Here is a 23048-nt window from a genome sequence, read left to right as displayed (position 1 = left end):
TGCTTCCACTGGCTGATGCAGCACTGCTGTGCACACGACTTTATGGCTACGTGGGTCAGAAAGTCCCCAGATCATGATGAGCCATTCAAGTCACGTGGTAACTTGGTGGCCCTTGTCTAGTTTAGTTTCCTTTTCTTTTTTTCTTTCTTTTCTTTTCTTTTTTTATGAGACAGAGTCTCCCTCTGTCACCCAGGCTGGAGTGCAGCGGCACCATTTTGGCTCACTGCAACCTCCGCCTCCCGGGTTCAACTGATTCTCGTGCCTCCACCTCCCAAGTAGCTGGTATTACAGGCACTCGCCACCACACCTGGCTAATTTTGTATTTTTAGTAGAGACAGGGTTTCGCCATGTTGGCCAGGCTGGTCTTGAACTCCTGACCTCAGGTGACCTGCCCACCTCAGCCTCCCAAAGTGCTGGGATTATAGATTCACACTGCCAAGTGTTTAATTTCTACAAAGGCCCAGAAGCAGGGCAAGAGCTGTTTCTCTGAAGGAGAGTGGGTTATCTGTGAATGATGACAGGACCTTCCTCCAAAATCCTAAAGGCCTGAGCCGTGATTCACCTACAGGGGCCTGGCAAAGACTCCACACAGGGTCTCTGTCTGCCACTGACACCCCAGGCACCAGTGGATCTGCCGGGTCATGTGGCCCACGTGGCAGAGCGGCATGCACAGAGCCTGGACCTACTGCAGAGACTTCTCTTGCTCTGGGCCATGCTTAAAACTAACTAGCAGCTTTTCAAATCACTCAGTAAATGGACAGAGTTGGACACCTCAAAGAGAAAGAACGTGTCAACCCCACATCAGACAGGCCCACTTAGTGCCGTTCTTCTCTTTTGGTTGTAGGAGGGTTCAGCTGCAACAACCTGTCCTTCACCTTAGAACAGGCCTCACACCACTGGAAATTTCCCTGAGGTAGAAGGCTCTGAATTCCAGTTGGGTTTATTCCCCACCCTCCGACACCAACAAGTCTAGGATGGAGGCTACTTCTTGTGCCTTACGTCCCATCAACATGATGTCACCAGTGTAATGGGCCAGTGTGACATCCTGGGGAAGGGAGAGGTGATCGAGACTCCTGAGAATTACCTCTGACACGGGCTGGAGAGGCGAGAGGCCCCTCAGGTGGGGCGGCGAGGGTGCATCGCTGGCCTGGCTTCTGCTGGGCCCTGTGGACGGGGGTGGAGGAGAACGCATTTGCTGGATCAAGAGCTTCGCACCAGGGAGCAGGAGATGTGCTAATTTGCTCAAGCGATGGAACCTCGTCTGGCCCAGCAGCTGCAGCTGGAGTCAAACTTAGGACAGTCCCCTGTCATTCTCCAGGACCCACCTGTCTCCCCTGTGGGCCGAATAGGTGGGGAGAATGGGCTGTGGTGGGGATCGCCGCCCCTGCACCTCTCAAGTCCTTGGTGGTGGCACTGATGTCTGCAGTCCCTCCAGGGATGTGGGATGGCTTTTGACTGACGGTTCTAGGTAGAGACCTCTCTAATGGCTTCCACTTGGCCTTTCCCACCACAGTAGCCTTCACACACCAGGTCACGGGACGCATGTGGGGACTCTGCTGGCTGCTGAGTGTGTCTGTTCCACTTACACATCTGGAGCTGGGAAGATGACCACAGGATGGGCTGGGTACCCGCTGGACCCACAGAGTCAGACCTGAGCTAAAACTCCATTGATCACCTGGCTCCCTAAGCCCCTCCCTAACTGGAGGGCCACAGTGTCGTTCCAGCATCTCCTAAAATCAATGTCAGGACAGAGCCAGTGTCCAATCGTCCTGAAATGCCACATTATTTTCTTTTTTCCAATACACAGTTACACAGATAGAAGGCCATAGACCCCTTTGGAGAAGACCAGGGAAAGAATTAACAGTATATATACATTTTTGGCCATCCTGGGGTCCTTCCTCAAGGGTACCCAGCCTTTCTTTCACTCTTTCTGGGTTCATAGACTGGCTCAAGTCTGTGAAAGACTGAGGCCATGATTCTCTGTTTTTATGATTGGACTTAGAGTTTTGTCCACTTGATCTGTAAGTTTTCTGCTTGTATCCAGTAGGAATTGAGCAGGCTTCCCATCTGTTTCACTGCTAGGAAAAACATGGTAACCAGCCAGTGCCATAGGTCTACATGGGTTGGACCTGTAACTCAGGTCTGACTGCTACTTTGCCTCTGCTGTCTATCATGGTAACCATGCCAACTTTGCCTTTGGTGCTTGAATGCCCCCACTTGGCCACTGCTACCCCAGGATCCAATTATTCCCATCACATGTAAGTTTCTCAGTTGATTGACTGCAGTTCCCACAGTGAGTCTGGCCTACAGAGAAGAACAATCTCAGAGCTCTTCAAGGAGACTGGGCTCCCTCACAAGTCTATATTTCAGTGTTGTGAGACAGCAGTCCTCAACCTTTTTGGCATGAGGGACTAGTTTCATGGCAGAATATTTTTCCACAGACCCGGAGTTGGAGGATGGTTTTGGGATGATTCAAACACATTACATTTATTGTTCACTTTATCTGTATTATTATTACATTGTAATATGTAAGGAAATAATTATACAACTCGCCATCATGTAGAATCAGTGGGAGGCCTGCGCTCGATTTCCTGCAACTAGACAGTCCCATCTGGGGAGGATGGGAGACAGCCACACATCATCAGGCATTAGATTCTCATAAGGAGCGTTGCAGCCTAGATCCTTCGTATGTGCAGTTCACAGTAGGGTTTGCACTCCTATGAGAATCTGATGCTGCTGCTGATCTGACAGGAGGCCAAGCTCAGGTGGTCATGCAAGTGATGGGGAGTGGCTATAAATACGGATTTCACTCACTCACCCACCGCTCACCTCCTGCTGTGTGGCCCAGTTCCTAACAGGCCATGGACCAGTACCAGTCCATGGCCCGGGGGGTTGGGGATCCCTGTTGTGAAAGGTCTGCGTTTTGGGCCCTCCCAGGGTAGGTGAGGAGGTTTTCATTGTCACATTCTGATCTCCTTTGGGAATGAGCCTTTGAACCCCTTCCTCTATGTTAAGCCAAGGGAGCTTAGGCATCTCCAGCTCGCTCACTGCAGGCATCCTTTGATCCATGTTTCAACCGACCAGCCAGTTAGAGCTTTTCCAAGTCCCTGAGTTGCAGCCTGGAATTCAGGCTCTACTTGGTGGACATGCCTGCACACCTGGTCCCTCCACCTCCATGTTCCTCCCCCAGTGCCCTACACCCAACGTCCGTTCCCACTCATGCTCCCAGGTGTCTGTCTGTATAAATCAGAGAGGTCGAGTGGCTCTTCTGGGGTGTGGCTCGCCTCCTCCTGTGTCACACTGTGGGCCTCACCTTCAGGGGCCTGCTGGGCTGTGAGTCTTGTTATAGGTCTTAAAGCAAAGGGAAGGGTTGGGGGAGGGACCCGAGGAGAATCAGCAACTGCCTTAGGGGAAGTCCTTACCCTTTCCTCAGGCAACACAGATTAATGCCTCAGAGAAGGTGGAAAGGCCAGTACCACTGGGGGAGGGGTGTAGCACTGGGGGTGGGTGTAGCACTGCCACTGGGTGCAGGGAGGCTGCTTCTGCTGACAAAATGACTCATCCTAACTTAGAGGCTGACCGTCCCCAGCTTCATCAGGGTCCTTCCATATGTCTTCATCCCAACTTACAGGATCCTCTGTTTCCCAGCCAATGCCCTCACTGGAACAGTGGACACCCCGCAAGGCTGAGAGTTCAACTTGCGTTGTAATTCATCCAGTTTCAGGACGAGGACTTGTGGTTGCTTTTCAGCAGTCTTGGCCCCAGGGCTACAGGAAAGGAGGTTCTCCTTCAGGGTTCACTCAGCCACTCACAGGTTATTTATACAGAGCTGGAACTGGGAATTTGAATCACTGAGCACATCCTGTGATTTCATCACTTTGTCCAGCAACCAACTGGTAACCAGCCCACGTCACTATATTCCCTGGTTTTCCACAAATGTTCGAAAATATCATATACAGAGTCACTAAGCTCCTTGCCTCTTGTAAGTGGTTTACTAGGAGTATACAATGCAGAAATTTGCATATTTTCATAAACTATTCACACCATGGACCATCAGTGTCCTGTGTACTGTTGGAAGTAGAGTTCTTCTCACTTTTAAGTCAAGTCATATTAGAAAACCAATTCCGAAAAACACAATACACATTCAGAAAACTCATTCTTATGATTCTGTTTCTCTAGAATCATCCTGATACCAAAACCTATGTTAGGGTTCTTCAGGTAAACAGAACCGATAGGATAGAAATAGCATCGAGGCCAGGTGTGCTGGCTTACGCCTGTAATCCCAGCACTCTGGGAGGCCGAGGCGGGTGAATCACGAGGCCAAGAGATGGAGACTATCCTGGCCAACATGATGAAACCCCGTCTCTACTAAAAATACAAAAATTAGCTGGGCGTGGTGGCGGGTGCCTGTAGTCCCAGCTACTCGGGAGGCTGAGGCAGGAGAATCGCCTGAACCTGGGAGGCGGAGGTTGCATTGAGCTGAGAACACGCCACTGCACTCCAGCCTGGGTGACAGAGCAAGACTCTGTCTCAAAAAAAAAAAAAAGAAAGAAATAGGATTGATACAGGTATAGATACATAGATACATGAGAAGGGATTTATTATGGGAATGGGCTCATATGATTACAATGATTACAGAGGCTGAAAATTCCCACAATAGGCCATCTGCAAGCTGGGGACCAGGGAAGCCATTTATGTGGTACAGTCTAAGCGTCAATCAGGAAAGCCAGTTGGGTAACTCTCAGTCTGCAGCTGAAGGCCTGAGACCCGGAGGCCACTGGTACAAGTCTCAGAGTGCGAAGGCTGAAGAATCTGGAGTTCTGATATCCAAAGGCAAGAGAAGATGGGTGTCCCAGCTGCAGAAGGGAGAGTGGGGAGAGGCAGAGAGGGAGAGTTCGCCTTTCTTCTACCTTTTTTCCTTATCTGGGCCCACTGCTGATTGGACAGTGCCCACTCACGTTGGGCGAGGATGGACCTTCTCTACTGTCGTGCTTTGAATTTGCCTTCTCCAAGTTTTTTTTTTTTTTTTTTGAGACAGAGTCTCAGTCTGTTGCCCAGGCTGGAGTGCAGTGGCGCGATCTCAGCTCACTGCAACCTCCTGGCTTTAAGCCATGCCTCAACCTCCCGAGTAGCTGGGACCATAGGTGTGCACGCACCACCACGCCCAGTTAATTTTTGTATTTTGTAGAGATAGAGTTTCTCCATGTTGGCCAGGCTGGTCTTGAACTGATGACCTCAAGCGATCTGCCCGCCTCACCCTCCCAAAGTGCTGGGATTACAGGCATGAGCCACTGCACCTGGCCTCCAAACATTATATTTAAACTTAATCCCCGCTGTGGTGGTATTAAGCGGTAGCGTTTTTTGAGAAGTGATTAAGTCATGAGGGCTCAGTCCTCATGAATGGACCAACGCTCTTATAAAAAAGGCTTCAGAGACAGTTCACCTTGTATTGCTCTTCCACCATCCACAGTGTGGTGACACAGCATTTGTCCCCTTCAGGAGAGGCAGCAACAAGTCTTCATCTTGAAGAAGAGACTGGGACCCTCACCAGACACCAAAACAGCCAGTGTCCTGATCTTGCACTTTTTCCAGCCTCCCGTACTGTGACATAATAAATCTGTTGTAGAAATGACCAAGTTACAGGTATTTTATTATGGCCGCACAAAGGGACGGAGACATAATTTGCTAAACATAAGTGGGGTGTTGCTGTTATAAATACCTGAAAATGTGGAAGCAGATTTCAAACTGCTGGTAGAGTCTGGAAGTGTTTCAGAGTGCATGGCAGAAAAAGCCTAAATGGCTATGAACAGAGTATTAAAGGCAATTCTGGTGCAGGTTTAGAAGAAGAGGAGATCTGTAGACAGAGCCTCAGTCTTCTTAGGAATGTTTAAGTGGGCCGGGCGCGGTGGCTCACGCCTGTAATCCCAGCACTTTGGGAGGCCGACGTGGGCGGATCACAAGGTCAGGAGATAGAGATTATCCTGGCTAACACGGTGAAACCCCGTCTCTACTAAAAATACAAAAAATTAGCTGGGCGTGGTGGCGGGCGCCGGTAGTCCCAGCTACTCGGGAGGCTGAGGCAGGAGAATGGCGTGAACCCGGGAGGTGGAGCTTGCAGTGAGCCGAGATCCCACCACTGCACTCCAGCCTGGGCGACAGAGCAAGGCTCCATCTAAAAAAAAAAGAGAAATGTTTAAGTAATCATGATCCCAATGCTGGTAGAAATATGAATAGTAAAGATGAAGTGTTAGATCACAGCAAGGAATATCTTATTGGAATCTGGAGGAAAGACCGTTCCTGTTACAAAGTGGTAAGGAACTAGGCTGAATTGTGTCTGTGCCTGAGGGCTTTGTGGGAGGCAGAATTTAACAGTGATGAACTAGAATATTCAGAGGAAGAAATCTCTAAGCAAAACGCTAAGGGAGCTGCATGGCTTCTCTCAACTGTGTATGGTAAAATGCAAGAAAGAGAGAAATGAGTTAAAGACAGAATCTATAATCAAAAGAGAAGCAGAACTTAAAGGTTTGGAAGAGTCTCAGCTTGGCCACGCGTGTAGGAGAGAAAACAAAGGGTGTGGCCCAGGGACCATTTGATAAGATTCCTGGCGATAGAGGGAAGTCAGGTGCTGTCCGTTAAGACAATGGAAGAAAGGCCCTGACGGCATCTCAAAGCTCTTCCAGGCTGCCATGGCCATCACAGGCTTAGAGTTCTAGGGCTTTGAGGGCAGAAGGGAGTCAAGGGAGGAACCCAGGGCTCTGGACGGTCCCTGGGTACCTACAGGACCTTAGGCCTTCATGCCCAGTACTGCCTCAAGTCTCTGCTCCCTGCATTTGCTTTGAGGGCAGAATGGAGTCAAGGGAGGAACCCAGGGCTCTGGAGGGTCCCTGAGTACCTATGGGACCTTGGGCCTTCATGCCCAGTACTGCCTCAAGTCTCTGCTCCCTGCATTCCAGTGTAGCACTCCTCAGCTGCCTCAGCTATGGCTCACATGGGCCCAGGTGTGGCTCAGGCTGCCCCTCCAGAGGCACAGGCAATACGCCTTGGCAGCATCTTCTGCAGGCACACACAGAGCACGTGCTATGGAGGCATGGCCTAATAGAGCCATGGGGTCAGGGCCCCCTCAACCACAAGCCAGTAGAAACACTGCTGTGCAACTCCAGCCTGGGACAGCCAAAAGCAGGGGACTGTCATGCTTGGGAGCCACAGCCGGCAAAGCCATGGGGGCAGGACCACCTGGAGACTTGGGGGCCCAACTCCCACCCTAGGGTATCTGGAAGGCATGACAGGGAGTCAAAGGAGATCATTGTCAAGTTTCAAGATCTGATTTTGCTTGCCTTGTTGGATTTTGGATTTACTTGGGATCTATTATCGCTTTTTTCTTTCCTAGTGTTCCCTTTTGCAATGGAAATATCTATCCCCTGTCTGTCCTACCATGATATTTTGGAAGCATGTAACTTGTTTGATTTCATAGGTTTACAGCTGGAGAGCAATTTGCCTCAAGATGAATGTTACCTAGAGTGTCAATCATATCTGATGTAGACGATGTTTAAATAAGACTTTGGACTTTGATTTTAAAGTTGATGCTGGAATGAGTTAAGACTTTTGGAGTTACTGGGATGGAATGTATGTATTTTTAATGTGATAAGGTCATACATTTTGGGGGACTAGGAGTAGAATGCTATGATTTGAACATACCCCCTAGAAATTCATGTTGAAATGTAATCCCATTGTGGTGGTATTAAGAAGTAGGGCTTTTGGGAAGTGATTAAGTTATGCAGGCTCTGTCCTCATAACTGAATTACTACCCTGTCAAAAAGGCTTCAAGGACAGTTCACCCTGTATTGCTCTTCCACTATCCTCCATGCGAGGACCCCAGCATTCGTTCCCTCTGGAGAAGGCTGCCACAACACACCATCTTGGACGCAGAGATAGGGTCCCTCACCAGACAATATACTTGCTGGCACCTTGATCTTGAACTTCCCGGCCTCCAGAACTGTGAGAAAATAAGTTTATCTTCTCTATAAAGTACCCAGTTTCAGGCATTTTCTTATAGCAGCACAAATGGACTAAGACACTCAGTCCACTGATTCAAGTGCCGATGTCTTCTGAGAACACCTTCACAGACTGTATTAGGCTGTCATTGCACTGCTATTAGGAAAGACCTGCAACTGGGTAATTTATAAGAAAACAGATGTAATTGGCTCATGTTTCTGCAGGCTGTATAGGAAGCACAGCAGCATCTGCTTCTGGGGAGGCCTCAGGAAGCTTCCAATCATGGCAAAAGGCAAAGGGGGAGCAGGCATGTCACATGGCAAAAGCATGAGCAAGAGAGAGGTGGGGGGAGGTGCCACACACTTTTAAACAGCCAGATCTTGTGTCCAGATCAAGGACATCACCAAGCCATGTGGGATCTGCCCCTGTGATCCAATCACCTCCCACCAAGGCTCCACTTCCAACATTGGAGATTACTGTTCAACATGAAGTTTGGAAAGGACATCCAAACTATATCATTTAGCCCCTGGGCCTCCAAATCTCATATCCTTCTCCTGTTGCCGAATACAATCATACCTTCCTAATAGTCCTCCAAAGTCTTCACTCATTTCAGCATTAACTCAAAAGTTCAATGTCTCAACTGAGTCAAGGCAAGTCCCTTCCATCTACAAGCCTGTAAAATTAAAAAAGTTATTTACTTCTGAGATACATTGGGGATATGGGCATTGGGTAAACATTCATGTTCCAAAAGGGAGAAATTGGCCAAAAGAAAGGGACTACAGGCTGCATACAAGTCCAAAACCCAGCAGGGCAGTCATTAAATCTTAAAGCTCTAGGGTAGTCTCCTTTGACTCCATGTCCCATTTCCAGGGCATGCTGGTGCGAGGGGTGTGCCACCCCAGGCCTTGGGCCACTCTGCCCCTGTATCTCTGCAGGGTGCAGCTCTTGTGGCTGCTGTCACAGGTTGTTGAGTGCCTGCTGCTTTTCTATGTGCAGAGTGCAAGCTTCCAGTGGATCTACCATCCTGGGGCCTGGAGGACAGTGGCCCCCTTCCTTCCCATGGGTCCACTAGGAAGTGCCCCACTGGAGACTCTGTGTGGGGCCTCCAGCCCCACATTCCCCCCCTGCACTGCCTTAGTAGAGGTTCTCTGTGAGGTAACTGCCCCTGTGGCAGGCTTCCTCCTGGGCACCCAGGCTTTTCCATACATCCTCTGAAATCTAGGTGGAGGCTCCTAAGCCTCCTTCACTTTTACATTCTGTGTGGCTGCAGGTTTAACACTACACGGAAGCTGCCAAGGCTTATGGCTTGCACTCTCTGGAGCTGTAATGGCAGCCCAAGTTGTACCTGGACCCGTTTTAGCTGAGGCTGAACCCAGAGTGGCCGAGATGTGGGGAACAGTGTCCCAAGGCTGTGCAGGGCACTGGGCCCTGGGTTTGGTCCATGAAACCATTCTTTCCTCCTAGGCCTCTGAGCTTGTGATGGGAGGGGCTTCTTTGGAAGTTTCTGAAATGCCTTTGAGGCCTTTTCCCCATTGTCTTTGGATATTAGCACTTGGCTCTGTTTCAGTTGTGCAAATTTCTCTAGTAAGCGGTAGCTCCAGAGTGTGCTTGAATTTATTTCCTGAAAAAGCTGTTTCTTTCTCTACCACTTGACCAGGCTGCAAATTTTTTTAAATGTTTACACTCTGCTTTCCTTTTAAATGTAAATTCCAACTTTAGGTCATTTCTTTGCTCCCGCATCTGTGTGTAGGTTGTTAGAAGCAGCCAGGCCACATCTTGAATGCTTTGCTGCCTAGAAATATCTTCTGCCAGATACCTTGAGTCATCACTCTCAAGCTCAAACTTCCACAGATCCCTAAGGCATGAACAGGATGCAGTCAAGTGTTTGCTAAGGCATAACACATGTGACTTTTGCTGTAGTTCCAAATAAGTTTCTCATTTCCATCTGAGACTTCATCAGCCTGTCCTTCACTGTCCATATCACTATTAGCATTTTGGTCACAGCCATTTAACCAGTCTCTAAGAGGTTCCAAACTTTCCTTCATCTTCCTCTCTTCTTGTGAGCCTTTCAAGATCTTCCAACTTCTGCCTGTAACCCAGTTGCAAAGTTGCTTCCACATTTTCAGATATCTTTATAGAAATATCTTTCTCCCTGGTACCAAGTTTCTGTATTAGGCCATTCTTGCACTCCTGTAAAAAAATACCTGGGGCCAGGCATGGTGGCTATAATCCCAGCACTTTGAGGGGCCAAGGCAGGTGGATCACCTGAGGTCAGGAGTTTGAGACAAGCCTGGCCAGCATGGAGAAACCCTGTGTCTACCAAAAACACAAAATTAGCTGGGCACAGTGGTGCATGACTGTAATCCCAGCTACTCGAGAGGCTGAGGCACAAAAATGGCTTGAACCTGGGATGTGGAGGTTGCAGTGAGCTGAGATTGCGCCACTGCACTGTAGGAGACTGAGGGAAATCTGTCTGAAAGAAAGAAAGACAGAAAGAAAGAAAAAGAAAGAAAGAGAAAGAGAAGAGAAAGAAAAGAAAGAAAAGAAAAGAAAAGAAAAGAAAAGAAAGACCTGAGATAAAAGAGACTGGATAATTTATAAGAAAAGAGGTTTAATTGGCTCACAGTTCTGCAGGCTGTACAGGAAGCATAGAAGCATCTGCTTCTGGGGACGCCTCAGGAAACTTCCAATCATGGTGGAAGGCAAAGGGGGAATAGGCACATCACATGGCAAAAGCAGGAGCAAGAGAGAGGTGGGGGAGGTGCCACACACTTTCAAACAGCCTGATCTTATGACTGCCATGAGGACATCATCAAGCTATGAAGGATCCACCTCGTGATCCAATCACCTCCCACCAGGCCCCACCTCCAGCATGAAGGATTACAATTCAACATGAGATTTGGGTAGGGGGTAGAGGGTGACATCCAACCTATATTACAGACACACCCAGAAATAATGCTTTTCCAGATACCTGGGTATCACTTAATCTAGTAAAGTTGACACCCAAAATTAACCATCACATCTTGCAAAGCATTATTTCTGGGTATCTGTGAGGGTAGATTTGAAAGAGATTGTTATTTGAATCCATGGACTGAATAAGGAAGATCTACCCTCACTTGATGTGGTTGGCACCATCCAATAGGTTGAGGGCCTAGAGAGAGAAAAAAGGCAGGGAATGACGAATTCTCCTTCTCTCCAGGGCTAGGCAACCCATCTTCTCCTGACTGTGGACATCGGAACTCCGGGTTCTCCAGCCATTGTGCTCTGGGACTCACACCAGTAGCCACTCCACCACCACCAGTTTTCAGGCCTTTGGCCTCGGACTCAGAGTTACACAATCCGCTCCCCTGGTTCTGAGGCCTTTGGACTTGGAATGAGCCCCGCACCAGCTTCTCTAGGTTTCCAGCTTGCAGACAGCCTGTCATGAGACTTCTCAGCCTGCATAATCATGTGAGCCGATTCCCCTCATAAATCCTCTCATATGTCTGTATGTATATATCCTGGGGTTCTGATTCTCTGGAGAACGCTGACTAATACCTGGGTTTACAAGTTTAGAGAAACAGCCAACTACAGCCTGTGCCCCATAGCGTCTTGGCCATGGCTGTCATGACCCTTGTTCTTCCCTGACTCATGTTTGGTTCCTTCCCTGTCAGTGGGCACCTCTTCTAGTCTCTGTGGCCTACCCAGTGGGCCAACTGGGACCCTCCTCAGTGAGGGGTCTGGGGCCCTGGTCACCATCCCTGCTCAGGCCATGGCTGTTGTACTTGTCCACTCATGAATAAAGCAGTTGAGGGAACACCAAGTCCCCCAAGTCCCACCACTTGGATCACCAGGCACCAAATGTATTCTTTCCTGTCCCCTCATGGAGTAGCAGTTCTACTGCCTCCTGATGGCCACGGCCCACCTCCCTCCCAGTTTGGGGGCTCGTTGTCATGACTGTTGGTCTCCAGGGACAAATAATCCAAAGTGACAAGGCATCGGCTGTAGCCTAAATTTCAGTGGGTCTCCTATCTGTCCACTGGTGGCGTTGTCCCCTGTGGAAACCACGACCCCGGACTGGCAGCCTAGAGTGGAGGGAACAGCATGCACAAAACCCACAGCAGGTCACTGGCAGTGGTGGTACAGGGGCCGCTGCTGCTTCTGCCCCTTGGTTCCGAGGCCTGTTGGGGACATAGCACCCCATGGTGGCTGTTGAGTTGGAGTGACTACTGAGTTCCACAATGTGACACCCCATCCTTGAACAGTATCACCCCCACGCTGGGGCCTTCATGGAGCTCTGAAAAGGCTGCTCCCCTGCTCTGTGGTGCTGGCTGCGTCTGAGTGGTGTGGGCTGTGATAGGACCAGCAGATGCCATGGCCATGTGCCATGTGCCATGTGCCATGGCTGCACCTCCTCCCTGTGTTGTAAAGTGGGTCCCTTGGTCCAAGGCACTGCTACGCATGCCCTGTTTGGTGGATCAACACTTAATAAGGCCTGGGGATCAGCCTGGGTTATGTGTCAATTCTAGTGGAGTTGAATTGCTGCCCCCAATGGGATGGATGCTTCTGTTGCCTTGTCAACTTTCTCTATGGATAGTGCCTAGTGGGGGCTTCTCAGCAGCCCATGTTGCAGACAGGTTGGGCATTTGTGGCAGCAGTGGCTAGACCAGCCTTGGTGGGTGGAGCTGTGCTGTTGATTTCATGGTCAGCATCCCTTTCTACCACCAAAGCTGCTCCATGCATGCACCCAGGGGGCCAGCACTCAGGTGGTCGGGGACAGAGGCTGGCTGAAGTCAAGGACTGCGGCCATTCTGTCTAACTGGTTGCTTAGTGGCTCCCTGGTGGATGCTCTCTGTTGGGAATGAACACGTGATACCAAGCTCTTCACCTCTCATGGCCACACCTGTGAGTTCATTCATGTGCCTCCTGTCCCGGGGTGGTGGGCAGAATGATGATGTCCCCCAAAAGGTGTCCAGGGCTCTTTTTAAATAGGGATGGCATAGAACAAATCCACCCACTAATGGGTGCTTAACATGTACCCCATTCCACAGCCCTCTGCTCCAGCAAATATAGCACAGCTGGCACAGCAACAATCCACTGGGCTACTGCTCAGTGGAGCTTGGGATTAGCTGTACATATACACAGGGGCTTTTTAGGGGGAATTGGCTCCTGTGATTATGGAGGTTGGAAAGTATCCCCATCTGCCATCTGCAAGCTGGAGACCCAGGAGAGCTGATGGTGTAAGTTCCAATCTGAGTGTGAAGGCAGAACACTGATATCCCAGCTCAAAGACAAGCGGCTCTTTGAGCTGGGCTATCAATCATGTTGAAATTTGGTCCTCAGTGCTGGAGGTGGTGTCTAATGGGGGTGTTTGGGTTGTGAGGGCAGATCCCTCATGGATGGCTTGGTGCCATCCTCATGGTAGTGAGTGAGTTCTCACTCTGAGTTCCCCTGACAGCTGGTTGTTGAAAACAACCTGGCAGTCCCATGTTCACTTGTTTCTCTCACCATGTGACCTCTGCACACACTGGCTCCCCTTCATCTTCTGTCAGGAGTGGAAGCAGCCTGAGGCCCTCACCAGCAGCAGATGCAGATGTCATGTTTCTTGTACAGCCTGCAGAACCATGAGCCAAATAAACCTCTTTTCTTTATCAATTACCCAGGCTCCAATATTCCTTTATAGCAACATAAACAGACTAAGACAGGCAGGGAGAGCGAATTTTCTCTTGCTTAATCTTTTTGTTTTAGTCAGACCTTCAACTGATTGGATGAGGCCCACCTTTACCAGAGAGAGTGACCTGCTTTTCTCAGTCCACAGATTCAAATGCTAAGCATATCCAGAAACACCTTGCAGACACACCCAGAATAATGTTTAACCAAACATCTGGGCACCATGGCCCAGTGAAGTGGACGCATAAAATTTCCCATCACAAGTTGACAGTAGTCTGTTAGCATTCTCTGGAAAATGGGGGAGATGATGGGAATCGCCTCACCTGCAACCTTCAAGTCTTCCAAAGGGGCCCACATCTCTGCCATTCCCCACCAATGAGATTTTCTTTTTGGTGTATTGCCTTGGCTAAGGTGGTGGGCAGTTTCAGAAGTTTCTACTTGGTAACACTATGATAGTTTTTACCCTACAGGACAATGAGCCTACGTGAGGATTCTGCCAACTACCAAGATTGTCTGAGTGTACTTTTAGGGTCTGGGGGAATATGCAGCATTCTGGGAATGCAAAGGGATGACTCAGTGTGAGCTAGAGGTGGACCAGGATTGCACTTTGCTGGCCTCCATACGCCCTACTCTAGTGGGCCCATGATGGTACCTTGACTCCAGCTCTCAGTGTCAACTTGGTCCCGGAGTCCCCCAGCCCTGGGCATTGCCCTTTTCCTAGTGCACAGTTACTGAAATACACCTTTAGTGGTGGGGTGGGGAAGGACTGGGGGAGCCTGCTATGGTACTGCAGGGTCCGTCCTCCTGGGACCTAATCCCTCCTTCAATCAGTGGGGTTTGGGTTTGAAAACTGTCTCAGGTGCAGAAACTGGGCAAGAGATCATGCTTTTTCATTGGGGTATGTATTCATCTATTAGGGTTGCAAAACAATATCACAGACTGGGCAGCTTAAACACAGACTTTCATCATCTCATGGTTCTGGAGACTGGAAGTCCGAGATCAAGGTGTTGGTAGTGCTGGTTCCTCCCGAGGCCTCACTCCTTGATTTGCAGATGGCCACCTTCTCCCTGTGTCCTCATGTGGTCATGCCTCTGCATGTGTCCTCATCTCCTCTTCTTACAAGGACACCAGTCAGATTGGATTAGGGCCCACCCTAATGTCTTCATTTTAATTTAACTACATCTTTAAAGGCCCTTTCTCCAAATACTTACACACTGAGGTCCTGGGGGGTTAAGACTTCAGTATATAAATTTTGAGGGGACACAACTCAGCCATAATAGGATGGCTGTTCTCAGCCTCCTGAACAACCATCCTGATGTCTTTTGATCATGTAGATTAAGCAATACCTTGCTGGCTGCGCACCTGCCTTGCCCAAGGAATGCCATGTTTTGGTGATGGTCTCACTAGTTCTGCCAGTCAAGGCCCCTGGCTCTTTGATGGCATTGCTGCTTCCTGTGTGTATTAGCTCATCCTCACACTGTTATAAAGATACTACCGGAGACTGGGCAATTTATAAACAAAGGAGGTTTAATTGACTCACAGTCCCACATGGCTGGGGAGGCCTCAGGAAACTTACAGTCATGGCAGAAAAGGAAGCAGGCACCTTCTTCACAAGGTGGCAGGAGAGAGTGTCAGCCAGTGTAGGAGGAACTGTCTGGCCGTGTAAGACGTGTCTGCTTCCCCTTCACCTTCCACCATGACTGAAACTTTCCTGAGGCCTCCCCAGAAGCAGCTATGAACCGTGAGCCAATTAAACCTCCTTTCTTTATAAGTTACCCACTCTCAGGTATTTCTTTATAGCTGTGCAATAACAGACTAATACACCCAGGCACAGTGGTATGCATCTGTAGTCCCAGCTACTTGGGAGATTGAGGTGGGAGGATTCCTTGAGCCCAGGAGTTTGAGGCTGCAGTGAGCCATGATTGCACCACTGCACTCCAGCCTGGGTGACAGAGACTGACCCTGTCTCAAAAAAACAAAAAACATAAAACAAAGGTAATCAACAGTAAATGAGTTCATGACAGTGGGTCCTAATCTCATAGGACTGGAGTCTTACAAGAGGAGGTGAGGACACGGACACGCACTGAGGGAAGACCCTGTGAGGACACAGAGAGAAGGCCCCGGTCATCTACAAGCCAAGAGAGGCCTCAGGAGGAGCTAGCCTTGCAAAACCTTGATCTTGGACTCCAGCCGCCAGGATTGTGAGACAATGAGTCTGTTGTATAAGCCACCCTGTCTGCGGTGCTTTGTGATGGCAGCCCCAGTAGACAAATGTACTTAGGGTTGGCTCTTTTGCCCTGAAGCTTCTAAGCACCACTCAAGTGATGATTTGGCACTGTCTCCCTGGAACCTTAGGAGAGGGTTAAGTCCTGTGCTATAAGACAATGCTCTGATATTGACACACTCTTCCTTCTCTAACTTTCTATTTCACCATGATCCTGCACACTCAGGAGCTGACTCCTAGGTACTCCCAGTTCCTGACTAGTTCCTGCAGCTTCCATGCCCAGTCCTCTTTATATCTTCCCCAGCTCTGAACTTCTGGCAGCTTGCTGACTGAGCATCTCCACTGTGAAGGGAGAGAGTCCGTGGAATCCCACCCCGTTCCAAGGACAGAAGCTGTCTGTGACAGTTCATTTGGTCTGTCGACTTGACTGGGCCATGGGTTGTCCAGATATTTGGTCAAGCAGTATCCTGGGTGTGTCTGTGAGGATGAGATGAGCATTTGATCAGTGGACTGAGTGAAGCAGCTTGGCCCACACAGTGTGTGTGGGCCTGTTAGAAATACCAAAATTGTTAGAAATAGATAATCGGTGCTGCGAAGAAGAGTCAGCACAGAGACAAAAGATCTCTCAGCAAGGCCATCTTTACTTTCTGCAGAAAGGGTGCTCAACTGCAGATGGAACAATGGTGAGAGCACACCTGAACAAAGGAAAAGCAGATGTATTTATCCCTTACGCATTTGGGTTGTCCTTACTGCTGTGTCCTGCATCCATTGGCTGGAGTGGGACCTCACTATCTTAAACTGATACCCGATTTGAAACTTTCCTAAATAGGTAAGTGCAAGGAAGAACAAAGAAGTTGCTTACAAAAGGTTTCAGGAAGCAATAACATTTCCAATTAAGGAAGGGGCATAGGCTGTGAGCTGGAATGTGTCTGTGAGCATGTCCAACAGTTACATAGGATAGGGCTTAACAAAGAGCTATTAGCACAAAGCAAGGAGGCTTGAAGAAAATTAGTCTTTAAAAGAATCTATTATTTCTAAGACTTATGATTTATTCTTTAACAAGAAGGGGAACTTTGAAGCAGAAACTTTTTACTTCCTACAATTCCCTCCTCTTTTACTGTATAGTTTTCCTCTTCAAACTTTCTTAGCATGTCTTGGCTTAGTTGTTTTGATGAACTCCTGGATGTATGGTACGACATAACACCTACGAAGAAAGAGTATACTTATTAGCGTTGTTAAAGAGGTAAGAATTGAGGCTACATTTTTTTTTCTTTTTCTGGTTGATGAAATGCCAGAGTAAAAGGGATAGCCAACTGAACTACAGCATCAGTACTGCTCTCATTATTTGGCAGAGTGTCCAGTAAAGGTCCTCCATAATACCACCATACATCCGCTCAGGGATGAATAAGGGCAGACCGATGGGTCAGCTTTTGGAGGTGCCTGACTTTACTGCAACCTTTTAAGTCTCCAAGGAATGCCAAGTTTTTTCCCCTCGTTGTTGGAGACACGAGGTAAAATTGGTTTTGGAAGATGAAGGCTGGATGGCCCTCGGGGGCTGACCCACAGGGCACTGAACTTCAGGAAATAGCAGAGAAAGAGCTTGGCACAATTCGTTATTCCAGGTGGTGGAATCTTCGAAAAGAGCTACCACGCACTCCATGTCCGCTTGATTTGAGGACCGTCCCAGTGGAAAGGAGGCATCCTGAGCCTCTGGCCTACCGCGCCCACAAGCTTAATGGTCACTTTTGCTTAAAGTGCGAACGGGATATTTAATCCGTTTTAACCGGCATTTATGTCTTTATACCCTCTTTCAATGGCTAGGGTTTGCCTTGGGTCTCCTATTTCTACTTCTAAGAACTTGCTTGTGTCATTTGGCATGAGGCGAGGCATAGTTTGATGTTGTAGGTTTGGGAAAGGGGCAGTCGTAGGAGGTGGAGGAGGGAGAACAAAGCGCACCTTGAAGCCTATAGGATCCCTTCCAGTGACCTCTGCTCCCAAACCACAGAAACTCTCTAAAGTGGGGTTAGAGTTGCTAGTGGTAGGAATAGTCATGGATATAGGCACTGGGTTAGGAAAGGAAAGGAAAGAGATAGACTCAGCTTTCCTTAGCTTTAATTTGGTAGGGCTTGATCCAGAAACAATGGCCCATGATTCTGTTGATAATGGTGCTTGCTTGACTCTGGTGGGACGTGTCCACCCCCTTTCCGTTGTACGAATAGCAATCTCGGTAGTCAGCAGCACAAGGCAGGGTCCTTCCCAGGCTGGCTCCAGTTTCCCTTCTTTCCACCCTTTGATGAGAACGGGATCCCCAGGCTGGTGCTGATGTACTGGAAACTCTCAGGGCAGGGCCTGTGCTAGAAGACCTTTTGTTTTAAGGGTGGAGGATAAACCAAGTATATCATTTCTAAAAATTGATCTTTTGTTTTAAAGGTGGGGACATCAGCAGTGGATTTTATAGTCCTTAGTGCCTTCTTGCTGAGAAATTTCCTTTAGTACCTATTTTTATTAGTTTTTAGACCAAAGAAAGCCAAACACCATTTTATATTTGACAGTGCTTCCTGTGTGATTTTATACCAGATCAGCTAAATTTCACCTTTACATTAGTGTGTTATTCGTGTTAAACTTCATTTTAATAAAACCTTGTAGACATATGTATCCAATTTTAAGGTCTGACCACAAGGTGAGATTTCCAGACTCTTTTTTTAAACTTTTATAATTTTTAACCTTTCGTAATTTTTGTTAAAGAGCAGGTTAGCGCTTTAAGAAAAACCCACTGGGCTTTTATTTTAATGTCCAGTTCACAGAAAAACTGGAAGATACCCCTTTAACTTTAGCCAATATGTTTCCTTTACAATGAATATTTCAAAACTTGCTTAAACCTTCGAAACAATTTTTTTTCTCTCAAAGATGATAACCATTCTTTTCCAAAGCGAACTTCCTTTATGTCTGTGGACTAGACAGCCTAAGGTCACAACATTAGAAGTTAGGATAATACATGTTATACTGTTAACTTTTAGCAAACTTTACTTTTGTTGAAAACCTTGTAAGTTTGGGATTTCAATTATCCTTTGCTATTAATAAGACCTTGTTTAGTCCAAATTTAACTTAGAATTGGTACAAATGATGTTTGAAATGCTTGCTCCCCGGTGCCATAAAGAAATGGCACTTGAACATAAATTTAATTTCCTACGCAAGGTCATTTTTATACTTTCTGTAGAAAGGGTACACTCGGCAGCAGTTTTGCCACGAGAGTACACTGAGCAAAGGAGACAGGGTCATTTATAACCTGACGCGTCCACCCTACTGCTGTGTCTGGTTTCCATTGGCTGGAACGGGACCTCACATTCTGTTTCACGCGCGTCCGTGTGAAGAGACCACCAAACAGGCTTTGTGTGAGCAACGCGGCTGTTTATTTCACCTGGGTGCAGGCGGGCTGAGTCCGAAAAGACAGTCAGCGAAGGGAGATAAGGGTGGGGCCGTTTTATAGGATTTGGGTAGATAAAGGAAAATTACAGTCAAAGTGGAGTTGTTCTCTGGCGAGCAGAGTGGGGGGTCGCAAGGTGCTCAGTGGGGGAGATTTTTGAGCCAGGATGAGCCAGGAGAAGGGATTTCACAAGGTAATGTCATCACTTAAGGCAAGGACCGGCCATTTACACTTCTTTTGTGGTGGAATGTCATCAGGTAAGGTGGGGCAGGGCATATTCACTTCTTTTGTGATTCTTCAGTTACTTCAGGCCATCTGGGCGTATATACGTGCAAGTCACAGGGGATGCGATGGCTTAGCTTGGGCTCAGAGGCCTGACATTCTGCATTTGTCCCGACTGGCTAGCAACTTAGAACTTTTTAAAAGAGGCAAAGGCAGAGGAGAACAAAGGAAGAAGTAACTCGTGGAATGCTGAGAAAGGTAAAAACACCTTCAAACTGTCAGGCCTCTGGGCCCAAGCTAAACCATCATATCCCCTGTGACCTGCACGTATACATCCAGATGGCCCGAAGCAACCAAAGATCCACAAAAGAAGTGAAAATAGCCTTAACTGATGACATTCCACCATTGTGATCTGTTTCTGCCCCACCCTAACTGATCAATGTACTCTGTAATCTCCCCAACCCTTAAGAAGGTTCGTTGTAATTCTCCCCACCCTTGAGAATGTACTCTGCGAGATCCACCCCCTGCTGGCAAAACATTGCTCCTAACCCAACCGCCTACCCCAAAACCTGTAGGAACTAATGATAATCCACCACCCTTTGCTGACTCTCTTTTCGGACTCAGCCCGCCTGCACCCAGGTGAAATACACAGCCTTGTTGCTCACACAAAGCCTGTTTGGTGGTCTTTTCACACGGACATGTGAGACACAAACAAGGAAGAGGAACAGGATAGGACCTAATGCTTGCCTGGACCAGTATAAGCATGCCAGAGCAAACATTTAGACTAAATTGTGGGAGCTAAGGACATAAAGTACATTGATTTCTTTATTACGTCTAGCAGATATTTAAGAATGTTAGCGCTGGTCTTTGAATACATTTTGCTACTAAGAGAAGTTACTATTTATTCCTGATTAGATGGGGAGGAAAGTCTTTTGAGGAGGAAACTCTACTTCACTTTTCACAATGACTCCTTCCTGATTCTGTCAGTATCTTAAGGCTTGGCTCAGTGCAAACAACTCCCCAACTCCTAGGCAATTTTCCTAACTCTACTCCTATTTCCCCATTACTTAATGAATACCCATTGTGGCTTTTTCCCTCATTCACCTGGGAGGAACCATCTATTGTCCTGTCTTGAAGGGAGTTCCTTCTAGGTCTGGTTGGACCTTTGTATGGTAATTCATTAAGAGTTAGATCCCCTGTTAGCAAACCTGCTGGGTTAAGGGAATGATCAGTGGTTAATGTTAAATCATCTTTTTCTGACAGAATCGCTTCATATTTTAAATTTTTTGAGTTAGTAAGCTACCTTTTTGCTTTTCTTTTTTTTTTTTTTTTTTTGACTTAGGATAGTTCTGACCTGGTGAGGTGTGCTCACAATGAGGTTTCTTCTCAAAGTTATTTTTCTACTTTCTTCTGTCAGCAAAGAAGTTGCTGCTACAGATTGAATGCATTTGGACCATCCGCGGGTTACTGGGTTAAGGATTTTTGATTAGGAAGGCTATGGGTTGTCAGTGGCCTCAGTGTTTTTGGGCTACGCCGTTGTTTACACCACCAACAAGGTGGAATGGCTGCTTAAGGAGAGTAAAGCTAGGACAGGGGCAGTTACTAATAGATGTTTTAACCTTCCCACCTGTTGGATTTCTGGTAATTGCCACATGAGGGGGTTTGGTCTGTCTCGTGTGAGCTTTTTGTGTAAGAGTTTTGTTTTTAGGGCATGAGTCTACCCATAGACGACGGTATCCATACAACTAATCCCAAAATTTTCTAAGCTCTTATTTAGTCTCCAGCAGAGGCAAGAATGTGATGCCTTCAATCCATTCAAGCTCAATTTTCTGTTTACCTTTGCTAATTAAATGACTTATTTGAATATTTGACCAAATAAATTTGGAGACTCCGTAAACCCTTGGGGTAAGACCGTCTATTGGTATTACCATTTTCCACCGGAGTGAGGGTCTTCTCACTCAAAGGCATATAGGTCCTGGCTGTCCTCTGCAAATGGACAAGCCCAGAAGGCATCTTTTACATCTATTACTGTAACAACAGGGTGGGTAGTTTGGACTAACTGGTTAATAGCTCTAGGGTCTTGCAGTCACTGGTGTGACTCGTCTTGCTTCTTTACAGGCAGTATTGGAGTGTTCTAGGGTCACAGAGAAGATCTTCAATGATCAATTATAGGTTTTAAATTTACCCTGGCTTTTAAAGGAATAGGGTACACTGTTTTCTCTTTACTACTTCTCTTTCTCTCTCTCTGACTCTCTCTCTCTTACTCTCTGTCTCTCTTTTTCTCTCTCTAACTCCCTCTTTGTCTCTGTCTCTCTCTTTCTCTCTCTCTGACTCTCTGTCTCTCTCTTTCTCTCTCTTTGACTCCCTCTTTGTCTCTCTCTCTCTCTGACTTCCTCTCCCAGTTTCTCTTTCCTTTCTGCCGGTCTTTCCCTGCCTCTGCCAGTCGCTTATGCTGCTATTCTCCCTTCTCCTTCCCCTTCCCCTAGGGAAGGGACAAGCGGAGTGGAGCTTAGCCTCTTTCTTCCCCCGAGAAGAAGGGAAAGGAGAACTCTGAATATTTTTCTTACTACCGGAGGTTTGTATGAGGTTCAACTCCCTGAAATTTGCAGAAGACCCCCTCAAACCAGGGGGTGTCTTGCCTTGCCTGCCGTGAGAGGTTGACCTGTTTCCTCCCTTTCCTCCTCTGAAGGTCCCTTGCACACTTCCCACTTGTGTTGTCCTCTCTGGCCACTCCCCCAAGGGAGAGCTAGGCCCCTCTTAGAGTTGGCGTGCCAGTATAAATCCCATGGCAGGATCTGCCCTAAGCCATCTGAGGTTGCTCTGGAAGCACAGAGAGGACCCAAACACTCCGTCCAGCAGTAGGATTTGTCACCATCCACACAACACCGCAAGCAGGGTTGTCTGTGATCATTCACGTGCACACACACATTCAGCCCCCCAGAATCTGACCACCAAGAAGTACTTTACCGGCTCCCGTGGCTTCTCCTTCGTTGGTCTGTGCACAGAGTCGTCACCTCGGTATGTGAGGATCCTTTACCCCAGGTTGTTGGCCAGTTTCTTTCCACATTGCTGAGAGTCCGGGTTTATTGGTCACACCGGATGGGTCTCGGTCCCTTACCCCTGAGGCCACTGCAAGAGGCAGCAGAGTGCCCCCTCGTGAGAGAGGACTAGAGACGCCCCTGGAGGAAAGTATATCCCCATACAATTGCCACCAAAATTGTTAGAAAAAGATAATCAGTGCCGTGAAGAAAAGTCAGCACAGAGACAAAAGATCTCTCAGCAAGGCCATCTTTACTTTTTGCAGAAATGGTGCTCAGTCGCAGATGGAACAATGGTGAGAGCACACCTGAACAAAGGAAAAGCAGATGTATTTATCCCTTACGCATTTGGGTTGTCCTTACTGCTATGTCCTGCATCCATTGGCTGGAGTGGGACCTCACAATCTTAAAGTGATACCCGATTTGCTAATAACCTGAAACTTTCCTAAATAGGTAAGTGCAGGGAAGAACAAATAAGTTGCTTATGAAAAGTCTCAGG

At 47.8% G+C, this 23048-nt stretch overlaps 2 long non-coding RNA genes across 2 annotated transcripts in view, besides 2 other annotated features; one reads left to right on the top strand and one right to left on the bottom strand.

The window, feature by feature from the left end:
• CD81-AS1 (CD81 antisense RNA 1) overlaps positions 1 to 23048 on the top strand; it is a 49244-nt gene that overhangs the window by 19005 nt on the left and 7191 nt on the right. The gene's annotated exons all lie outside the window — the stretch shown is intronic.
• Positions 16894 to 22855, bottom strand: LOC124902611 (uncharacterized). Its single transcript, XR_007062551.1, has 2 exons — positions 22479 to 22855; positions 16894 to 17069 (listed from the first exon to the last, which is right to left on the bottom strand). It is a non-coding gene; the product is annotated as an uncharacterized LOC124902611 (long non-coding RNA).
• Positions 18700 to 19615: an enhancer, noted in NCBI's record as "OCT4-NANOG-H3K27ac-H3K4me1 hESC enhancer chr11:2360603-2361518 (GRCh37/hg19 assembly coordinates)". NCBI's record gives its function as "activates a minimal SCP1, AML or CMV promoter by ChIP-STARR-seq in naive H9 embryonic stem cells {active_cell/tissue: H9 hESC(naive)}" and the evidence as "EXISTENCE:reporter gene assay evidence [ECO:0000049][PMID:30033119]".
• Positions 19616 to 20533: an enhancer, noted in NCBI's record as "OCT4-NANOG-H3K27ac-H3K4me1 hESC enhancer chr11:2359685-2360602 (GRCh37/hg19 assembly coordinates)". NCBI's record gives its function as "activates a minimal SCP1, AML or CMV promoter by ChIP-STARR-seq in naive H9 embryonic stem cells {active_cell/tissue: H9 hESC(naive)}" and the evidence as "EXISTENCE:reporter gene assay evidence [ECO:0000049][PMID:30033119]".

Source organism: Homo sapiens, chromosome 11, assembly GCF_000001405.40.
Source record: "Homo sapiens chromosome 11, GRCh38.p14 Primary Assembly".
Lineage (NCBI taxonomy): Eukaryota > Metazoa > Chordata > Mammalia > Primates > Hominidae > Homo > Homo sapiens.
Note: the sequence above shows the minus strand (reverse complement) of the source record. Positions and strands in the feature narration are given on the sequence as shown.